We start from the raw sequence: 19,012 nt of genomic DNA on the forward strand, positions 1-19,012 counted from the left end.
GTAGAGATCACATGGTGAGAAGAAGAAATAGAGGGGAGGGAGGTGCCTGATTCTTTTTAACAATCAGGCCTTGCAGAAACTAATATAATGGGAACTCACTCATTACCACAAGGATGGTATCAAGCCATTCATGAGGAATCTGCTCCCATGCACAACTACCTCCCTTTAGGTCCCTCCTCCAGCATTAGGGATCAAATTTCAACATGAGGTTTAGAGGGGTCAAACAAACCAAACTACAGCATTCTGCCCCTAGCCAATGCCACCACCCAAATCTCATGTCCTTCTCACATACAAAATACAATGATTCTATCTCAGTAGTTCCTAAGAGTCTTAACTTGTTCAGGCATCAACTTACTACTTTGAAATCCAATGTTTCATCTGAGACTCAAGGCAAGTTCCCTCCAGCTATAAGCCTATAAAATCAAAAACAAGTTATTTATTTCCAAGATACAATGGTGGTACAGGCATTGGGTAAACATTCCCATTCCAAAAGGAAGAAATCTGCCAAACGAAAGGGCTAGCAGGCCCCACACAAATCTGAAACCCAGCAGAGCAGACATTAAATCTTAAAGCTCCCCACTGACTCCATGTCCTGCATCCTGGGGACACTGGTGCAAGGGGTAGACTCTCAGGGCTTCAGGCAGTCCCATTCCCATGTCTTTACTTCTCTCATGGGTTGAAGTCCAATGCCTGCAGCTTGTCCAGGTTTCAAGCTGCTGGTGGCTCTATAATTCTAGGATCAGGAGGCTTTGGCCCTGTTTCCACAGTTCCACTGGGCAGTCCCCTAGTAGGGACCCTATGCAGGGGCTCCAACTCCACATTTCTGCTTGGCATTGCCTTAGTAGACTCTGCAAGAGCTCTCTGCCCCTGAGGCAGGATTCTGCCTGGGTACCCAGGCTTTCCCATCCATCCTCTCAAATCTAGGTAAAAGCCCCTAAGCCTTCACCACTCTTGTATTTTGGGTGCCTGCAGACTTAACACCATGTGTTCCATGTTTCAGACAACCAATCAAACTGTTAGAGCTTTTTTAACCCTTCAATCTACAAAATAGAATGCTCTTGCTCAGTTGACCCATAGCAATAAATTCATCTTGATCCAACTTTATGTTCCACCATTATCCTTCACTCTTAATATGTATTCTCACACATATTCCCCAGATTTCTGTCTCTATACACTGGAAAAAAATCATGCAGTTCTTTTAGTGTACAGTATGCTCATGTTTTGCTTCAACCAAAGAGAGGTCTCACTTTATGCTTCACCCAAAGAGAGATGCTGAGAATAATCAGCAGTGCCTTGAAAGGCAACAACCTCAAGGGAGGCTATTACAATTTCTCCAGGCAAAGCAGGGTTAATCTTTTCAGGCAGGAGTGATGGAAAGGCTTCTACTACTGAAAAGGAAAATTCAGCAGAATCTAGGGAGCTGATGTCTCCAGCTTTACCAGAATCTGACTATATTTCCTCAGTGCAATTTTCAGGATCCCATTCCTTTCCTATCAGTGGCCTCAGTTTAACAGAAGACATCCTGTTGAGATGGTTGAGAATTCAATTTGTTTTGTGATCCATCCACTCTCAGGATGAGACTCTGTGTTTATATTTCAGAATCTCCATCCTGCAGCTGCAGGAAATAGGGTTTCTTTCAGGGAAGATACAGAAGATTTTAGGTCATTTAATCAGAGCTTGTGCTGAGATTCTGATGTGCTGTCTTTTTTACCCTCAATTTCTCCCCTAGAGCAACCAGCTAATCGCATTGTGCTCATTACTTTAAATAAAAATATTCTAAGGTAGGAAAAAAAATGGTAATCCAAAATTTTATATATACATACACACACACACACAATATATATATATATATTTGTATATATAGATTTTTATATACAAACATTTTATATGTAAATATATAGATATATAAATATATATATTTGGTTAGAATAATTTAATGGTGATATCCTGTATATTTCTATTGTAATATCTTACCTTGGGCTACTAGTTTCCTCTTTATCACTGGAAATAGGGACATTTAATCAGTTTTAAGACCAAATTCCAGAAAACCCAGTACAAAATAAGAAAATTTATCTTTAATATTGTATTCCTCTAGAACAATGTTTGGTATTGAAATATTTACTCTTTTCCTGTAGCAGCTGTAACAAATTAGCACCAAAAAGGTCACTTAAGAGACATTTATTATCTCACAGTTCTGGAGGGCCAGAGATCTGAAACCAAGGTGCTGGCAGAGGCACTCTCCCTCTGGAAGCTCTAGGGGATTCTATATTTCTCGCCTTTTACAGCTTCTTGTTGCTGTTGATTTCCTTCACTCTTGGCCACATGGCTTGCTCCTCCTCTTCATATTGTTTTCTCCTCTGTGAGTCTGTGCATAAAATTTCACTCTGCCTTGCTCTCACTTGTGATGGCATGGAGAGCCTACCCTGATAATCTAGCATCTAAAACACAACTTTTGCCATGTAAGATAATATTAACTATTTTACCCTATGAGGTAATATTTACAGGTCCAGGGATTTGGACATGACATGTATTTGGGGGCGGGTCACCATTCAGTCCACTAAACTCCTAAGATTCTGCACTACTCAACATCACTCTGCTGTGTTTGGAGCATGGCATTGCAGTTTTCTTTAGTATTTGGTAAGAAAAACCACTCATCTTTACTATCTATTTTTGTGATGTTATGAATAATAATATTTTATTTTCTGTTATACTTTTTAGTGACCATTGATAGTAAACACAGATGTCTTTGTAGGTTAATCTTGCATACAATAAATCTACTAATTTTTTCCATAATTCTATAAATGTCTTTTGATTTATTATTTCCTTATGCAGATAATCATATCTTCAAATAACAGCACTTTGCTTTTTCCCTACCAATCCTCATAGCTAATATAGCTTGTCTTTTAATAATCTTGTTGGCTATGAATTTCTATCCTGTGCTTATCAGTAATTACAATAGTGAAGACGCTTATCATGTTTCATATTCTAAATAAAGTATTTCTAACAGTTTTCCACTGAGAATCATGTTAGGTATTAATTTTTAATGTGCAGATAGGTCAAAATAAGAAAATTTCATTCTTTTACTTATTTTCTGGTTTTAAGCATATTAATCACATTATTCTAATTATATATATATACACACACACACATATATATATATTTCTTTTATATTATGTGTTTGGCATATCTTTGGGAGAGGTACATTTAAAATGTCCAGCTACAATAGTTTATTTGGTCTTTTCCCCTAATTTTTTAGTTCTTCTTTACAAAATTAAGGGCTATATAAAATTGGGGGTTTTAAATTTTTATAACTTTTTTTATCTATTCTCTATTTATAAGTATTTAAATTGTTACTACTCATGATAATTTTGGCTTATGTTATATATTATTTTACATTAAAATTTTTATATTGAATTATTTTCAGGTTCACATTGCCTGTAATATCTGGCTTTAACAATTTAGTTTCAGAGTTTTATATGCTTTTTAGTTCAGTGAATTTCTTATAGACAAGATATTCTTTGATTATTAAGATATGCTTGGATTATTCTTGGATTCTTGTCTTTTCTGATTGATGTGATTATTCCATATTGTAAAGGGTGGCCCCCAAAAAGACATGCTGCTTTCCTAATCCCCAGAATCTGTGTGCCTTATATGGCAAAAGATTGAATATTACTTTGTGTGGCCAAAGATGTGATTAAACTAAAGCTCTTGAAAGGAGGAGCTTATACTGAATTATCCGGGTGGGCCCCAAATGCAACCATATGTACCCTAATAAGAGAGAGCCTCAGGAACTCCAGAGACAGATACATAGATGAGAAGACATGTATAAAAGAGACAATTGGAGTGATATGGCCATGAGTCAAAGAATGCCTGAATCTACGGGAACCTAGGAGAGGAAAGAAAGGAATTCTCTCCTACACCCTTTGGAGGGAGCACCACCCTGTTGACACCTTGATTTCAGACTTTGAGCTTCCAGAATTGTGAGGGAATACATTTCTGTTGTTTTGCTAAGGTTGTGGCACTTTGTCATGGCAGTCCTAAGAAACTAATACACCTCATGGACTTATATTGTAATTACTCTTGTACTAATATTAACTTTTGCTTTCTTGTTGGATATTTTCTGCTTAAAACTTTTTTAAAAAACTATCTTTTATTGTTCAATTGAATAAATGCACTTTATCTACTGGGTTGAGATTTAAAATTCACTGAACTTCTCTGTGCCTCAGTTTTCCCAAATCCTAAATAGTAAAATGAATGCATGGCTTGTTTTCTGCATAGCTTACTTGTGAGGATTAAATGGGTTGCTGGGCCCCAAGTCATTCGGTTTTTACTGCTACATGGCTATGCTCTCTAACTAAATTTTAAAACTTAGGCTAAGACCATGGATAACATAGGCTTGCTTGCATATTAGATATAGAGATGCTAAATAATAATCATAAGTACTTTTTATTCCTGAGATTAAACTTTATACACATTCTGTTCAGTAACATAAGTAACCAGGGTAAATATGGAATGCACATATGAGTACAAAACTTAAAAATTGGTATGAAAGCATAAAATACAGCACATAGTAATTTTAGTAAACTAATATTAATTGAATGTTAAACAGTATCCATTACAATTATTTATCGTATCATATTTCATTGAATAAAACATTTATCATAAACACAAAAAGTATCCATAAACCTCAGAAACCAACACTGAGTGAAAACATTAATAATTAGTAACATTATATTCTAAATACTGCCACCAATTTTAGAAATGCCTTAAAATTATTGTCACCCTTTTAGAATTTTTTCAAAATAAACAAAATTATTATATGACATTTAAATGAAGAATGAGGAAAAATTAAAGAGTATATGATTTAATCATTGGGAAGTGATAAAAAATTAGTTTATTCTTACTATTTTTTTCCAGTAATATAGCACAATATAATTAAGCAACCAGAAATAAAAAGTATATTTTATGGTGTTTTAAAATGTGGCTTTTGGAATTTGACAATAAGTAAACATATGTAGAGTACATGTTTTAACTCTAAATAGATAAAAGCTTCATGAAAATATAAGAGCTAAATTAATTGCAAACTGCTAGATTTAAATTAAAAGTGCTTAATATGTTATGAGAAGACAGGAACAGACGCCCACATTTATACTAGTCAGTATAATTCATATAATTAGACCTTAAAATGGCACACACTTAAAACAACTTGGTAAGTATTCATTGATTTTTCAGAAACGTACATAGGAGTTTCTAATTCATCTATAAACAGGTAAAACTAACTAAAGATAATATTACTAGGATGTGTTTACAATAAATAAAACTATGAATATTAAGAGAACGCTTTATGCTGTTGGCAATTTCAGTCTAAGGAATATGTAGTTTCACAGCTATCTGTGTATACTAAACATTCACATTTTTGACATTTGCCAACATTTATTTGTCACTTAAAATAGGCCATGACTGTCCTAACTGATTTTTTCTTATTAATATAATACTCACCTATAAGGTATGTATTATCATCATCCTTATTTACAACAGAATAAACCATGGCAGAAAGCATTTAAACAGAAAAACCAAATTCACATGACTAGTAATGGCTGTAGCCCAGATTCAAACCTTGGTATCTAGATTTGAGTTTGGTTCCAGTACTCAACAAGCTTCACCATTTTGTGAGCCTGCTCCTGAAGGGTTATAACAATTACAATCAGTTCTCCAGTACAATTCATATAGAAACAGTGTTTGTCCTCTAAACACTCAGCATTTTTATCATATCTCTCTCTTCCCAAAACTCTAAGTAGCTCTGAGGTTGCTGCTTTTCCTAATAACTCCCTGGATGATAAATAGTAAGAGAATACATCACCTATCTGCTACATTTATATTTTAACAGTTATACTAGAGATATACCCGTAGAACCAAAGAGACAGCTCTCAAATTGTTAAATTTGATAATGTGTAAGGCAATAGTAGTGATGGAGGCAGGGGGTTGGCAGGGGCAAAATTGTAAGCAGGAGACCCTATTTAGTTCACCTTATGCTGCACAGTAGTGATATTTAATGTTTTCATCTATTTGTGCTATTTGGCTATCCTTAAAAATATAATATTCTTGCCTGGTTTAATAGCCATTTAAATGTATAATTTAATTAATCATCTGGTATTTTTGGAATAAATAAATTGTATTCAACCGATGTTTAAAATGACAATGCCCCCGAAGTGGAACCCTACTGAGATGTTACTTGAAATGACCAAATGCCATTTTGTAATTGTCCATAAAATAATGTTTCTTAAGATTCTTGTCCAAATTCAGCATTTGAATGTGCCACCCTTACCTTTGAAATATGCTGTGCTCTAACAGATGGAGACACAGCAGCAATCACAGAAAGGCTTTTCAAATGAGGCGCATGTACCCTGAAATCCAAAACAGCTCCAGTGTGGACAACCGGAGGCTTGTGACCTTTGCTATAGGAGAAAAGTGTCTATTGACTCTTGGACTCATTATTTCACATACTGAGCTGTTAACAGTTGGATTAAACTTTCTTAGAATGGAAATTCCAGTTTCCAGCACAAAGCGACTTTATTTTAAATAGCAAAAGTGCTATTTCTTCTTTTTCTTTGATAGCCATTATACTTCTGTGTAATAAACTTCAAAGCCACGATATACATTGAGGAAAAGGAATGGAAGACACAAGTAATCAAATCATATTTTTCTGTAACTTCCAGATCAGGCAGAAATGAGGGAAATAAGCACCTCTGTAATAATAATTTCACTTCACTCATTCTAAAATCTAAGGTAGCTATAAAAATACTATGACTTTCTTTTCAAATATATGTGTTTATATGTATATTTATCTTGAATCTCTTTTTGAATATATATTTTACTCTGTTTTGTTTTCAAATTGCATACTTATATTTAGCTTCCCACATAAATATTATAAATTTGTTTATTTGTGAGACCTAAGATTTCCTTCTCCTGTGGATTCCATTTTATGAAACATTTGAGTGGAAATGTTTAATCATAGCTTACACCAGGGTATAAGAGAACATGTAAGTCAAAAACTGAAGATAAAGAGACATATTTTCTGGTTGTAGAGACTCCCCTCATTTCCTTCTGCATGCAGATTTTGCTTAAGTGGCAAAAGTCATATATAAAAAAAATCCTAATGTGTGGCGGATGTTATTTCTAAAATAGTAGCAGCTTAAACAGAGATATCCAGTTCTCTGTTTCTAGATCAGCACTGAAATATCAAAAGCAATTTCCGCAGCAAGCAAGAACATTCCCATTTGCCATAGAAATAGAAGAAAAGTGTCACCTCATATCCCTAAATTTGTAGAGTAGAAATGGAAATGATAGCAGGTTAAAAGAAAGCACTGAGAGAGGGCTCACATCTTCCCTCCCAAGTGTCACTGAGGAATCATGGGAAATGAACAAAGAAAAGAGTAAATTTTTGTACAACACTACTATTACCACTCATCTTAGTAGACTTCTACACATTCCTGATTTGGAAGGTAAAGCCCAGGGAAATGACGGGATGGAAACAGATCTCTCAGAATCCTAGTATGCAAGAAAAGCTATTCTGGAGACTACGCTTTGCGTGGTGACTATATTGTAGGCAAAGCTGGCAGAGGTTGTCCAGATGTAGTGCAACCTTGCTGTTTTAGAGAATAAAATCAGGAAGAAGCCTGGGCATAATCGTAATTGAAGAGGTGAGCACAAAAGATGGTAGAATATCTGTCTCTTGGCTCTTTCCCTTCATCTAGCAGAAAAAAAGATGTATTTTTTCCCCCAGTTTGGAGAGCTCACAGTCCTAAGTCATTCTACTTGATGTTTAATTTACCACAAATAAATCATGTAGCTTAAAGTCTGTGTATTTCTGAGAGTAAACAGGTAGAAAAAGCGAGAAACAGCAGAAAATGCACTCCCCATATTTAGGAGTTATAATCATGTATGTAAAGTGTGTTCTCTGTTTAAATAACAAAACAAATTTGTTAAAATTTGTACTTATTTGTAAGTACAAATAAGGGAAGTGGGACCAGTAAACTCGAGACTATATTGTCAAGAAAACTTAAAAAAGAAGTGTTTCAAGAGTAAAACTCTTTCCAAAATAAGCTGTCAATCCATTGAAATGTGTCCCCAATTGGTGGGTTCTTGGTCTCACTGACTTCATAAATGAAGCTGCGGACCCTCACGGTGAGTGTTACCGTTCTTAAAAGCAGCGTGTCTGGAGTTTGTTCCTTCTGATGTTCAGACGTGTTCGGAGTTTCTTCCTTCTGGTGGGGTTCGTGGTCTTGCTGGCTCAGGAGTGAAGTTGCGGACCTTCGCGGTGAGTGTTACAGCTCATAAAGGCAGTGTGGACCCATAGAGTGAGCAACAGCAGGATTTATTGCAAAGAGTGAAAGAACAAAGTTTCCACGTGCAGAAGGGGACCCCAGCGGGTTGCCACTGCTGGCTGGGGCAGCCTGCTTTTATTCTCTTATGTGGCCCCACCGACATCCTGCTGGTTGGTAGAGCCGAGTGGTCTGTTTTGACAGGGCGCTGATTGGTGCGTTTACAAACCTTGAGCTAGATACAGAGTGCCAATTGGTGTATTTACAATCCCTTAGCTAGACATAAAGGTTCTCCAAGTCCCTACCAGACTCAGGAGCCCAGCTGGCTTCACCCAGTGGATCCCCCACAGGGCTGCAGGTGGAGCTGCCTGCCAGTTCCCGGCCGTGTGCCCGCACTCCTCAGCGCTTGGGTGTCGATGGGACTGGGCCCATGGAGTAGGGGGCGGCGCTCGTCTGGGAGGCTCGGGCCACACAGGAGCCCACGGAGGTTGGGGGAGGCTCAGGCATGGCGGGCTGCAGGTCCCGAGCCCTGCCGTGCAGGAAGGCAGTTAAGGCCCCGCGAGAAATTGAGCACAGCAGCTGCTGGCTGAGGTGCTAAGCCCCTCACTGCCTGAGGCCAGTGGGGCCGGCCAGCTGCTCCGAGTGCGGGGTCCGCCGAGCCCACGCCCATCCGGAACTCGCGCTGGCCTGCAAGCACCGCGCGCAGCCCTGGTTCCCGCCCGCGCCTCTCCCTCCACACCTCCCTGTAAGCTGAAGGAGCCCGCTCCGGCCTTGGCCAGCACAGAAAGGGGCTCCCACAGTGCAGCCTCGAGCTGAAGGGCTCATCAAGTGCCGCCAAAGTGGGAGCCCAGGCAGGGGAGGCGCCGAGAGCCAGTGAGGACTGCCAGCACCGCTGTCACCTCTCAGAAATGCTGGGAAGAATATGAGAGGTAAAAACTTTATCTTTTGGACTTAAGAGATTTAGATCCACAGTGAATTTATTCAGGGTGATTTTAGTGGAATGATGGTGACAGAAACTAAGAAGGCTGAAGAGCTAGTGGGAGGTATGTAGTGGCCTGAATAATGTCTCTCACCAAAGATGTCCAAGCCCTAATCTCAGGAATCGGTGAATGTGTTATGTTACACAATGTAAATACTTAGAAGATGTGATTAAGTCGGGGATCATGATACAGTAGAATTATCCTGGATGATCCTGGTGTGTGGGCCCAATGTAATCATATGGTTTTTTATAAAAGTAAGGTTTATAGGGGTCAGAGTCAGAGAAGGAGATGTAATGAAGCAAGCAAGGAGATGTAATAAAGATACTTTGTTCCTGATTTTGAAGATCCGGAAGGGAACAGAAGACAAGGAATGTGGGCACCCTCTAGAAGTTGCAGAAGCCAGAGAAACAGACTCTCCCCTGGAATGTTCAGAAAGTGTACAATCCTGCCAAGACCTCGGTCATAGCTCAGTGAAACCCATTTTGAAATTCGGACCACCAGAACTGTAAGTAATAAACTTGTGTAGTTTTAAACCATTAACTATATTGTGGTAACTTGTTACAACAGCAATAGAAAACTAATGCAAGGTAGAAAAAGAAAGTATAAATTATTGCACTGAAAAATATGGCATTGATGCAAGAGGGTGATATTTGTTTAATGAATAGGTTTTATATTTTAATAGGTTAGGCTTGATTGTAAGTAATCATGTATTGGTTTGAGAGGGTCTTGTTGATAATATAGGACACAAAACATGTAAGCAGTAGTATACAATTATTGAGAAGGCATAAAGGGGTACTATTTATAGGGAGGACTAGCTTTTAATGAGAGATGCCTTCTTTCCTCTTGCACCGTGGAAGTAGAGCTGCTTCCAATGCTTAAACCCTCTTCAGGTGCACACATAACCAGGTGAAGTGAAGAATGCAACATCTAAAACAGAGTCGATCAAACCCTCCTTTATTTTCTAATAAACATTGAACATTCATTCATCTACATATGATGATTGTAAGCAACCAAGCATCATGTTCATGTTTAAGGAAAGAAGGAGAAAAAAATAATGCTTTCTGCTCACAGGTATTTGTGTTTCTAATGGAATTTTTTTAAAGCCCCATCATTCTTCCTTGACATTTCATTGGTTTGAGTGATGTCATGCAACTTAGTGTAGAGAAGTCACTGGCAGAAAAGAATGAGTTATGGACAACTGCCCCAGAAAAACAGAAGACGTATAGCTTCCCTGAGAGTAGAGATTCCTACCAGACAGAAGTGTGATGTTAAATTATCAGGGAAAAAAGGACATATCTGTTGGCCGTACTATGTATGTGTATGTATGTGAATAAATACATTTATACATATAATTATATATGAAAAAATATATGTATTACAAATCAATTTAAAATATTAAGATGGAAGTTACTTTTGTGGATGCATTGTAGTAAAAAAAATTTTCACCTATGTTTTAGAATAACAACTAACAATAAACATAAGCAATATGTCCAGATAGATATATAGTCATGAATATAAAACTAAAACTACCAAACCCTTCTTCTTATCTCGCATAGCGTTAGGCTTTCTGTTAGTGGTAAATCTGCCATATGCTTATTTCCTTCGTTTGAGCTTAACTCCTATTGTGTCAAATTTATACAAATAAATTTAATTTTAAATTTACAGACCATATGTTGAGTTAAACTTGGAATCTCCCAGGAGTCCTACAATAAGATAAATATTCAAATTGGTAAAGTAAATTTTCACAACATAACCCCTACTTCTCCGTATTGCATATCCAACCATTTTTGTCCAAGCTGCAGTACATAAAATACACATTGTATTATCCTAGCCCTGCCAATCACAGTACTCTAATTAATATAGGAAAATCTAATGTGAATTGAACCTCCACTAAAACTGTCACTCTACAAAGAGTTTCTCAAAGTATTTTATGAAGATTCTGCGGTATAGAACTTCACAATATAAAATAAAATACTAAAATAAAGTCACTTCCTGGAGAAGTAGTGCTTTCAGCCTCATTTGATGTATCATCCCTCTTTGAAAAAGGAGAGCAAAAGAAGTAATTATCTTGAATGAGTGAGCAGACTTCTATTTCAGGAGTGATATTGGTGACCTCAGCTTGCCTACGTTTTGCGCAAAAATGAGCTAAGTGCTTCCTTGTGGGAAGGAGCTGGGAAAATAATAAGAAAAGGGCAAATGAGGGTTGGGGTAGGGAGGAATAGGGGTGGAAGTGAAGAAAAAAGCCATCTTTGGGGCTTGCTCAAGAAAATCTCCTTTAAAAAATCGGAACACTCTTTCTGATGAAAATAATATAGTTCCTTGAATATGGAAGCTGTTGCAGTTGCCAAGAGAATACACTTTTTATATTGTTGTTGAGAAAGTATCTGTATAAGATCTTTTTATAGCAAGTCCAAGCTGCAGGCAAACTGGCTTGCTATTGGGTTTTATGGTACTGGAAGTTTCTGGGAGATATGGATATTCTGGGAACCTCTGACAAATCTCAATATGGTAATCATAGTGTGGACCCCTAGGGCTTTGGAATAAGGCATGTCTTTTTCAGGAGATAACTATTCTGTGTTTGAAAAACGTCTCCATGCTTCCTATTGGGCCCTAACAAAAACCGAATGCTTGACCGTGAGCATTAAGGGACTATGAGATCCAAACTGCCCATCATGAGCCTGGCATTATCTGATACTGCAAATCTAACAACAAACAAATAAGCAAACAAACAAAAACAAGACTAAGAGAGCACCAACATGTTCCTGCTAAAGGATAATCTACGTTTTCTATTAAGTATTTCCATTTCCCTTTATCCTGCCTGTCTGTGTGTGTTTTTCCCTTTTGATCATATAAGAATAATGATGTTGGCTAGTGCTTCAGTGTAGGCTTTGGGTAGGGCTGTAATTACATTGACATCAGCTAATTATAATTTGATAACTGATGGACAGGAAGAACAGTGAGAAACAAGAGGGATGAGCTGTGCTAGGTATTTTTATTTTCTATCTCAGATCCAGTCCCCAGTGTTTCCCACTACTTCTTTCCTCCTAAAAGTCATCCTCTATTTAAAGCTTCAAATCAGTTTCCTTGGCTTTTAATTACTGAATGGGTTCAGAGCTCAGCAATAGCTGCATTCTCTGGGTTTAGAGCTGGAGTGGTAACAGATTTGCATGGCTGCTACATCCTGAATGTTTCAGCATCCCATGTCACTTCTCTTAACCCTGCCTACGTATATGGAAAAGCCTCTTCCTTTAACTTTTTAAATAACCTTTTGAGAGTACCATCTGTTTTCTGATCATCTCTAACAGATACAGCTGTTCTGATGCAGCTGTAACAAAATTGTTTGCTAAATAATTTTTAAAAGTTCAAGAAGCTGTTCTTATGAATTACATCACATGTGCACTATACATCTCTGAACTTCATAATGTCTCCAAATCATGTCCTATTTCTTTCCCCTTGCTTCCCTCTCTAACCCTTGGCCAGCATTTCTCCACACTATACTCAAAAGATTCTCTCCACACCTTTGATCCCAGTGCTGCTGGAGTCAAGGATGTGGTGAATTTGTAGCTCAGGAGTGGAGTGAGGATGTTTCTTAGGTATATGACATGACAATTTTAAAAAAGTAAAAACTTAATTTTTCAAGGTCTGAACAAAGGGATCCCAACATCAATTGTGTCTGCGTCAAAGTGGCCACATCCAAATGTCATGTACTATACTTACAAGTATTTCAGTATATTAATATCCAGGACCATGAATAGCTAGGCTAACTTCTATTATACATACTATAAAATCAACAAAAGGAAGGTTGCAGCCTTCAATTTTAGAATGTAAGTTTCTCACGGAGAGTGGAATGGCGAGAGGGTTTTTTCTGATGAGAATACATTTTCTTCATGGATTCTCTGCCGGTGTGCAAATCCATCATATCACCTTTTTAGTCCTAGAAATGCCTTTATTTACTTTTCAATGCTTATTTGATCTGAACAGCTTGAAATTCACAAGCATTTGGTCAAGTATACACAAGGAAGAACAAATTTAGAATCAGTGAATAAAAACAGCGAATATAAACTTTTATAAAGCTGCAGATATGGGTTGAATCTGGATCAATTCTGTTTTGTAAAAGTTTATAACTATTTGTCACTGACTTTAAAACAAATATAAGTAAACATTTATTTTCCATATTTATTATCAAACTCTACATCTGTATCTTTCAGGTGAACTTATAAGTTTTGTCTCTAAAATGTGTGATCTATAGAAACATGACACAAATGTGTGCTTTGTAAGCTGGCAGCTGACTGGCTTAAAGTTAGGGCTCGATGATATAGAATTTTTGCGCCAGAGTTCTAAGTCCTAGCTTGACTTTTCTTTCTTCAAATATTTTCCATCTTTTAATATACAAGTCCAGCTTTGAGGCACAGAGTGATGATAACAACATTATAGGCATAACGACTTCATTGGAATCTTTTCGTTACAGTGTTTGAGGCAAAGTTTTTTTTTCATAGATGCCATTAAAATCAATTCATGTTTCTGTGTAACGTTAAAGTGGCCTTTGAATTGACTCCAAATAACACTGAAATGGAAAGCTGATCTCGATCCATCTTTTTAAACATAACATTTTTTGTGCTGTCTTTGATCTCTTTTTTATCTTTTTTTTTTTTTAGAGTTCTGCATTTGTAAACCATTTTCCTTGGTGCTTGATTTGACACTTTCATAAAACCTAAAAAAAACTGCTACAATAGAGAAATAACTGCCAGAAACTTTTTTTTTCTTCAATGTTGCCATGTTTCCCCCCCTCAATAATCCAAACTCACCCTTGTTCATAACATCTCTCTCTCTCTCTCTCTCTCTCTGTCTCTCTCTCTTTCTTTCTCTATCTTAGTCGCTCTTGTTCTCACTCCGTCACTTCAGTAGAATTTGACTTCTATGGGGAACAAAGTAAAAATGTCATAATGATTGATTCTTATGGAAAAATGAGAAACATATTTATTATCTAGATTAATCCCCTCTTGGTAGTGTTCCAGTTAAATTTAGAGCAAATGAGTAAACCAATATTCATTAAAATTCAATACATGCATGAGATAGGTTGACTAAGAACTATTAATAAACATTTCTTTCTATTACAATTGTTTGAGTTTGAGGGCTAGTACTGTAGTATTAATTGTTAATTTTTCTTAGGATTCATGCTGACATTTGGAGGAATTTTCACCTGATTGGTACTTTTGCAAATGTTGACACAGCATATAGGAATCCTTCAATAAAATTATATATTGATGTATGCAATTATATTGTAGCTATATTAATCATAACATCATGTATGCATAATAATGTATTCATTTTATATAAATGAGTTGTCAATCACACACATGATTTTATCTCTTATGATTTCACAAAATTTTGTTTATTTTTTAATAATATTAATCACATGAAATATGGTAATCATAGTGCGGTGGTTATCAGTGTGAGTTTTAACAGCTGGTAATTTTCTTAACTCAATAGGGCCTTATTTCTCTTATTTATCAAAAGGGAATAATGATTCTGGCTGTATGGGTTTATGATTACATTTAAATATTAGGTTGGTGCAAAATAAATTGCAGTTTTTGTCCTTAAAAGTAATGTCAAAAACCGCAATTACTTTTGCACCAAGCTAATACATGATATATGTAGTCAATTTATGCAAAATTCCTTACACATACTAAGCGCAAACCAAATGGTAGCAGTCATGATGGTGGTGGCAGGAGCAGCATTTGTTTAATTTGTTCTTTTTGTCTTTTCAGCTGTTCCCAAGTGTCATTTAGACATGAAGGAGGCCTACAATAAAATAGTATGCTGAATGTTCTGAAATATGTTTCTTATTGCTGCTCTAACAAATCACCACAAACTTAGTGGCTTAAAACTACAACACTTTAGCATCTTAGATCTCTGGGTGTTAGCTGTTCAAAAAATCTGACTGGACTCAAATCAAGGTGTTGCCTGGATTGTGTTCCTTTTTAGGATGCCTAAGCGGGAATCTGCTTCCTTGCCTTTTCCAGCTTCTAAAGGCTGCCTACACACCCTGGCTCCTGTGGCCTTCCTCCATTTTCAAAGCCAAAAGACTTGTAACTCTCTGTGCTTTTTTTTATAGTCATATCTTCCTCTGACGCTCCCTTCTGCTTACCTCTACCACTTTCAAGGGCTCTTGTGATTTTATTGAGGCCACCCTCAATGATCCAGAAGAATCTCCTGATCTCAGGATCTGTAACTTAGTCACGTCTGAAAATTTACTTTGCTTTGTGACATATTCATGGGTTTTGGGAATTAAGACATGGGCATTGTTGAGGGATAATTAAGCCTAGCTCAAGAGACATCCGTCTTTCAAAATAGACCTTATACTGTCTTCTGGTTAATAAGATAGCTCTCTTCTCTAATGAACTTTGTAAATTAAAAATATGTAAATGACAGGCATATATAATTTAAAGAATTATAACAAAAGGAAAACACCTACCACTCAGGTTAAGAAACACAACATTGTAAGTATATTTAAAGCCTACTGTATAGTCCTAACTAATCCAATTTTGCTTTGTTACTTAGACCTAGAAGCAATTAGTATGCTAAATTTGGCAATATAAACATTATTTTTATTTTTTCTAGTATACACACACAGAAATACATAAAAGATATATTTTATTTGTTTTTTCCTATCTTCGAGCTTATATAAATTTGTTTTTGAGTAATATGATTTTCAACATTCATCTATATTGATACACATAGCTGTATTTTATTTAATGGTAGCATAATATTTTTGTAGAATACATTGTAATTTATTTATCTTTTCTAATATTGATGAGCATTTGGGTTTTTTTTATTCCCTTGTTATGATCTACAATATCACTTCAAACTTACTTATGAACAGCTCCTGGTATTCATGAGTGAATGTTCCTCAGAGAAGATGTCTAGTATTAGAATTGGTTAATGGAAATAATGGCATTGCTTAGCATCCTTTCCAACATTTGGTTTTGTCAGACATCTTAACTTTTGAAATGTACTGGATATTAATCTGCACTGGGATTTTAATTGTACTTATTTTTATATAATGATATGGTACACTGCATGCTTTTTGCTTCTGTGGTTTTTCTTTCCTTTGAAATATCTGTTTATGGATTTTGCCTGTTGTACATACTTTGCTTATTTATTCAAAAAATTATTTATAAATTCTGGATACTAATATTTTATCAGTTACCAGCGTTTTAAATACATATTCTTAGTCTGAAACTCATCTTTTTATTCTCTTCCCTAATAAAAGATCATAAAGTCATTTCCTTGTATTTTAAGCTTCTGCTTTTAAAATTTAATCTTTGCTTATTGCTGGAAGCTCACAAAGGCAGGATAGACACTACAAAATATCTTATTATTCTTACCCACCAGAGAAACCTTAGGATTTCAAGGCTTGCCTATTAATTTGATTTGTGGGAGATAAAAAAATGAAGATTTCTGATTGGAAGTGTATATAGATATTTTGCAGTCATCTTTTCAAAGCTTAATATACAGAATGCCATGCTACAATGTGTTAAGTCAAGTGACGTGAGTTAGTGACAAGCTCTGCAAAATCAGTCAATGGAGTCATCAGCACAAAGATTGTAATGTCCTATGAATGGATCAGTTCACCAATGTAAATTTGTAAGGAGGCTGAGAAGAAACATCCAAAGAGAGACAAAAAGAGAAGAATCAAAAAAGCCTAACACTGAGGAAGTTAAGGGAATTTTTATTTCAAGAAGGAGGTTATAGTTTACAACATCAAATACTCCCTGAAGAATAGAAATATTCTTTTGACATAGCAAAAATAAAAAAAAAATAAGTAAAAGTTTTGCTAAGAGCTCGCTCAGTGGATGAATAAGGAATAGAATTTGTAATGCAACGATCTAAACAGTAAATGGAAAAAGAGGAAGCAGATGCAGGGATTTTGGATGTATGGTTTTTTTTTTTTTTCCAAGAAGCTCAGCAATATTAGGGAATAGAGATAGAGATAAAACTGGAGAGGCTTGAAGTTAAAGAACAGATGGGAGAGGCATGAGGATTTTTCAAAAATGCAAGTAGAAAAAGAGAGAAAGACTAGAAAAAATAAAATAAGGTCTAAGAATTGAAATGAAATTCCTGAAGTAGCATTTATAGGATTCAGAGAACAGGTAGAGGAGTTAGCTTCAATCAGGATGATATATTTGTTATCATAATGAGAGAAAGAAATTAGTTATAATACACTGTCACTTTTGTAGATGGGATGTCAGGAATTTAAAGGAGTTCTTATCTGAGTACTTTATTATTTCTGTGAAGTAGGAGACAAGATTTTCCGCTAAAAATAAATGGAAAGGTAATAGAGTAGGATGGTAGAGATAAGAAATGGTTTGATTAGGTATTATGGAAAATGGAGAAAAATCTTATCAGAACTGAGAAGAATTGAAAAGCAGTGTAAATGGCCCCATTGTGGTCAGAGAACATTACTTTGTGGAGGCAATTTTCTGAGGGTTTTGTGATTTTTCTCCAGTCAGATTCAACTGCCTAGGTATAAGCACAAAGACATCAGTCAGTTGAATTGCTCTAGCTTAGGGTTTGCTAGCTGGGTTCAAATAAGTAGACAATTGAATTGAAAAATTTCGTAAAGACTTAGTTGAAGAAACTGAGAAGCTTTGTAGGCTCAAAAGGAAGAGAGTGAAGCTTAGGTAGAAAGAAGACCTTACATATAGTTGATTATATATCACAGGAGTGAATCCAAGTTAGCCTGATGAAATAACATGCAAACTTTTTGCATGCACTTACCCATCTTTGTCTACTTCAAGGAAGCACTGAAGATTAGGAAGTACTAAGGACACGGATATAACTTTCCTGTCAATTTGTGTGATTTTCTTATCACGCTCTTTCTAAAGTCATTCTGATGGAAGAGTATTTTGTCCACATTTAGAAAAAGCATCAAGAGACAGTTTCTAAACTCTTAGCTTCTTTTCCCTTGGATCACTAATTAATGCGATATTGTTTCCCGAGTTCTTTCTTTTGCAGGTTTCTTATGCGACATTTTTAATCCGGTGTTTTCAAGCTCATATAACCAAGGATAAACATTAAGGGATAATACAGTTTTTTAGAAAATCATTTACCCCTTTGATCCACAAACTCTAGTAAGTTTAAATCAGATGAATGTCACTTTTGACATTTCTTAGTGAGATCAAATATATGCATCACATTTTGGTCATTTATTCTGATCCAGTACATTTTCTGCTTTTCTCTAAAGCCCTTCCCTTGTTGAATTTTAGTTTATTAATATAGTGATTCAGAACTCACTAGAAGACACAGGTAAGTGTTGGAGACTTTACAAAAAATTGTTAAGTTGGCTTGCATAGCACTGCAAAGTTTGTTAAGAGAGAATGCAGGTCATTGCACTGCTGGGAAACTTGGGAAGCAAGAGCAAAGGATTTCACCACTATTGCCCTTCAAAGTCCTTATCTAGGTGATCATAAGTATTCTGCAGGACCATGCTCCTGCTGTTATACATCAAACACCTTCAGATTATGGTCCATTGTTCTGATTGTTGCAATTTTTATTGTATAAGAATGGAAGCAATTCTGGTCTTACTTTTATATTCTTGCCCAGATTCCACTCCATCCATGTAAACACAGACCCGTAATGAAACTGTATAATCACCCTGGGGTTAAAAATACTCTCTCTTGGCCGGGCGCTGTGGCTCACGCCTGTAAT

The 19,012-nt window shown here is 36.2% G+C and overlaps 1 long non-coding RNA gene across 1 annotated transcript in view; it reads left to right on the plus strand.

Moving 5' to 3' along the window:
• Window positions 1–1,959: 1,959 nt before the first annotated feature.
• The window catches only part of LOC105370213 (uncharacterized), a 49,122-nt gene continuing 32,069 nt past the window's right edge, over window positions 1,960–19,012 (plus strand). The window contains exons 1-2 of the long non-coding RNA XR_941975.3: window positions 1,960–9,250; window positions 9,646–9,806. This is a non-coding gene — a long non-coding RNA (uncharacterized LOC105370213). The remainder of the gene's footprint in view (window positions 9,251–9,645; window positions 9,807–19,012) is intronic.

This window comes from Homo sapiens, chromosome 13 (genome assembly GCF_000001405.40).
Source record: "Homo sapiens chromosome 13, GRCh38.p14 Primary Assembly".
In the NCBI taxonomy this organism is placed as follows: domain Eukaryota; kingdom Metazoa; phylum Chordata; class Mammalia; order Primates; family Hominidae; genus Homo; species Homo sapiens.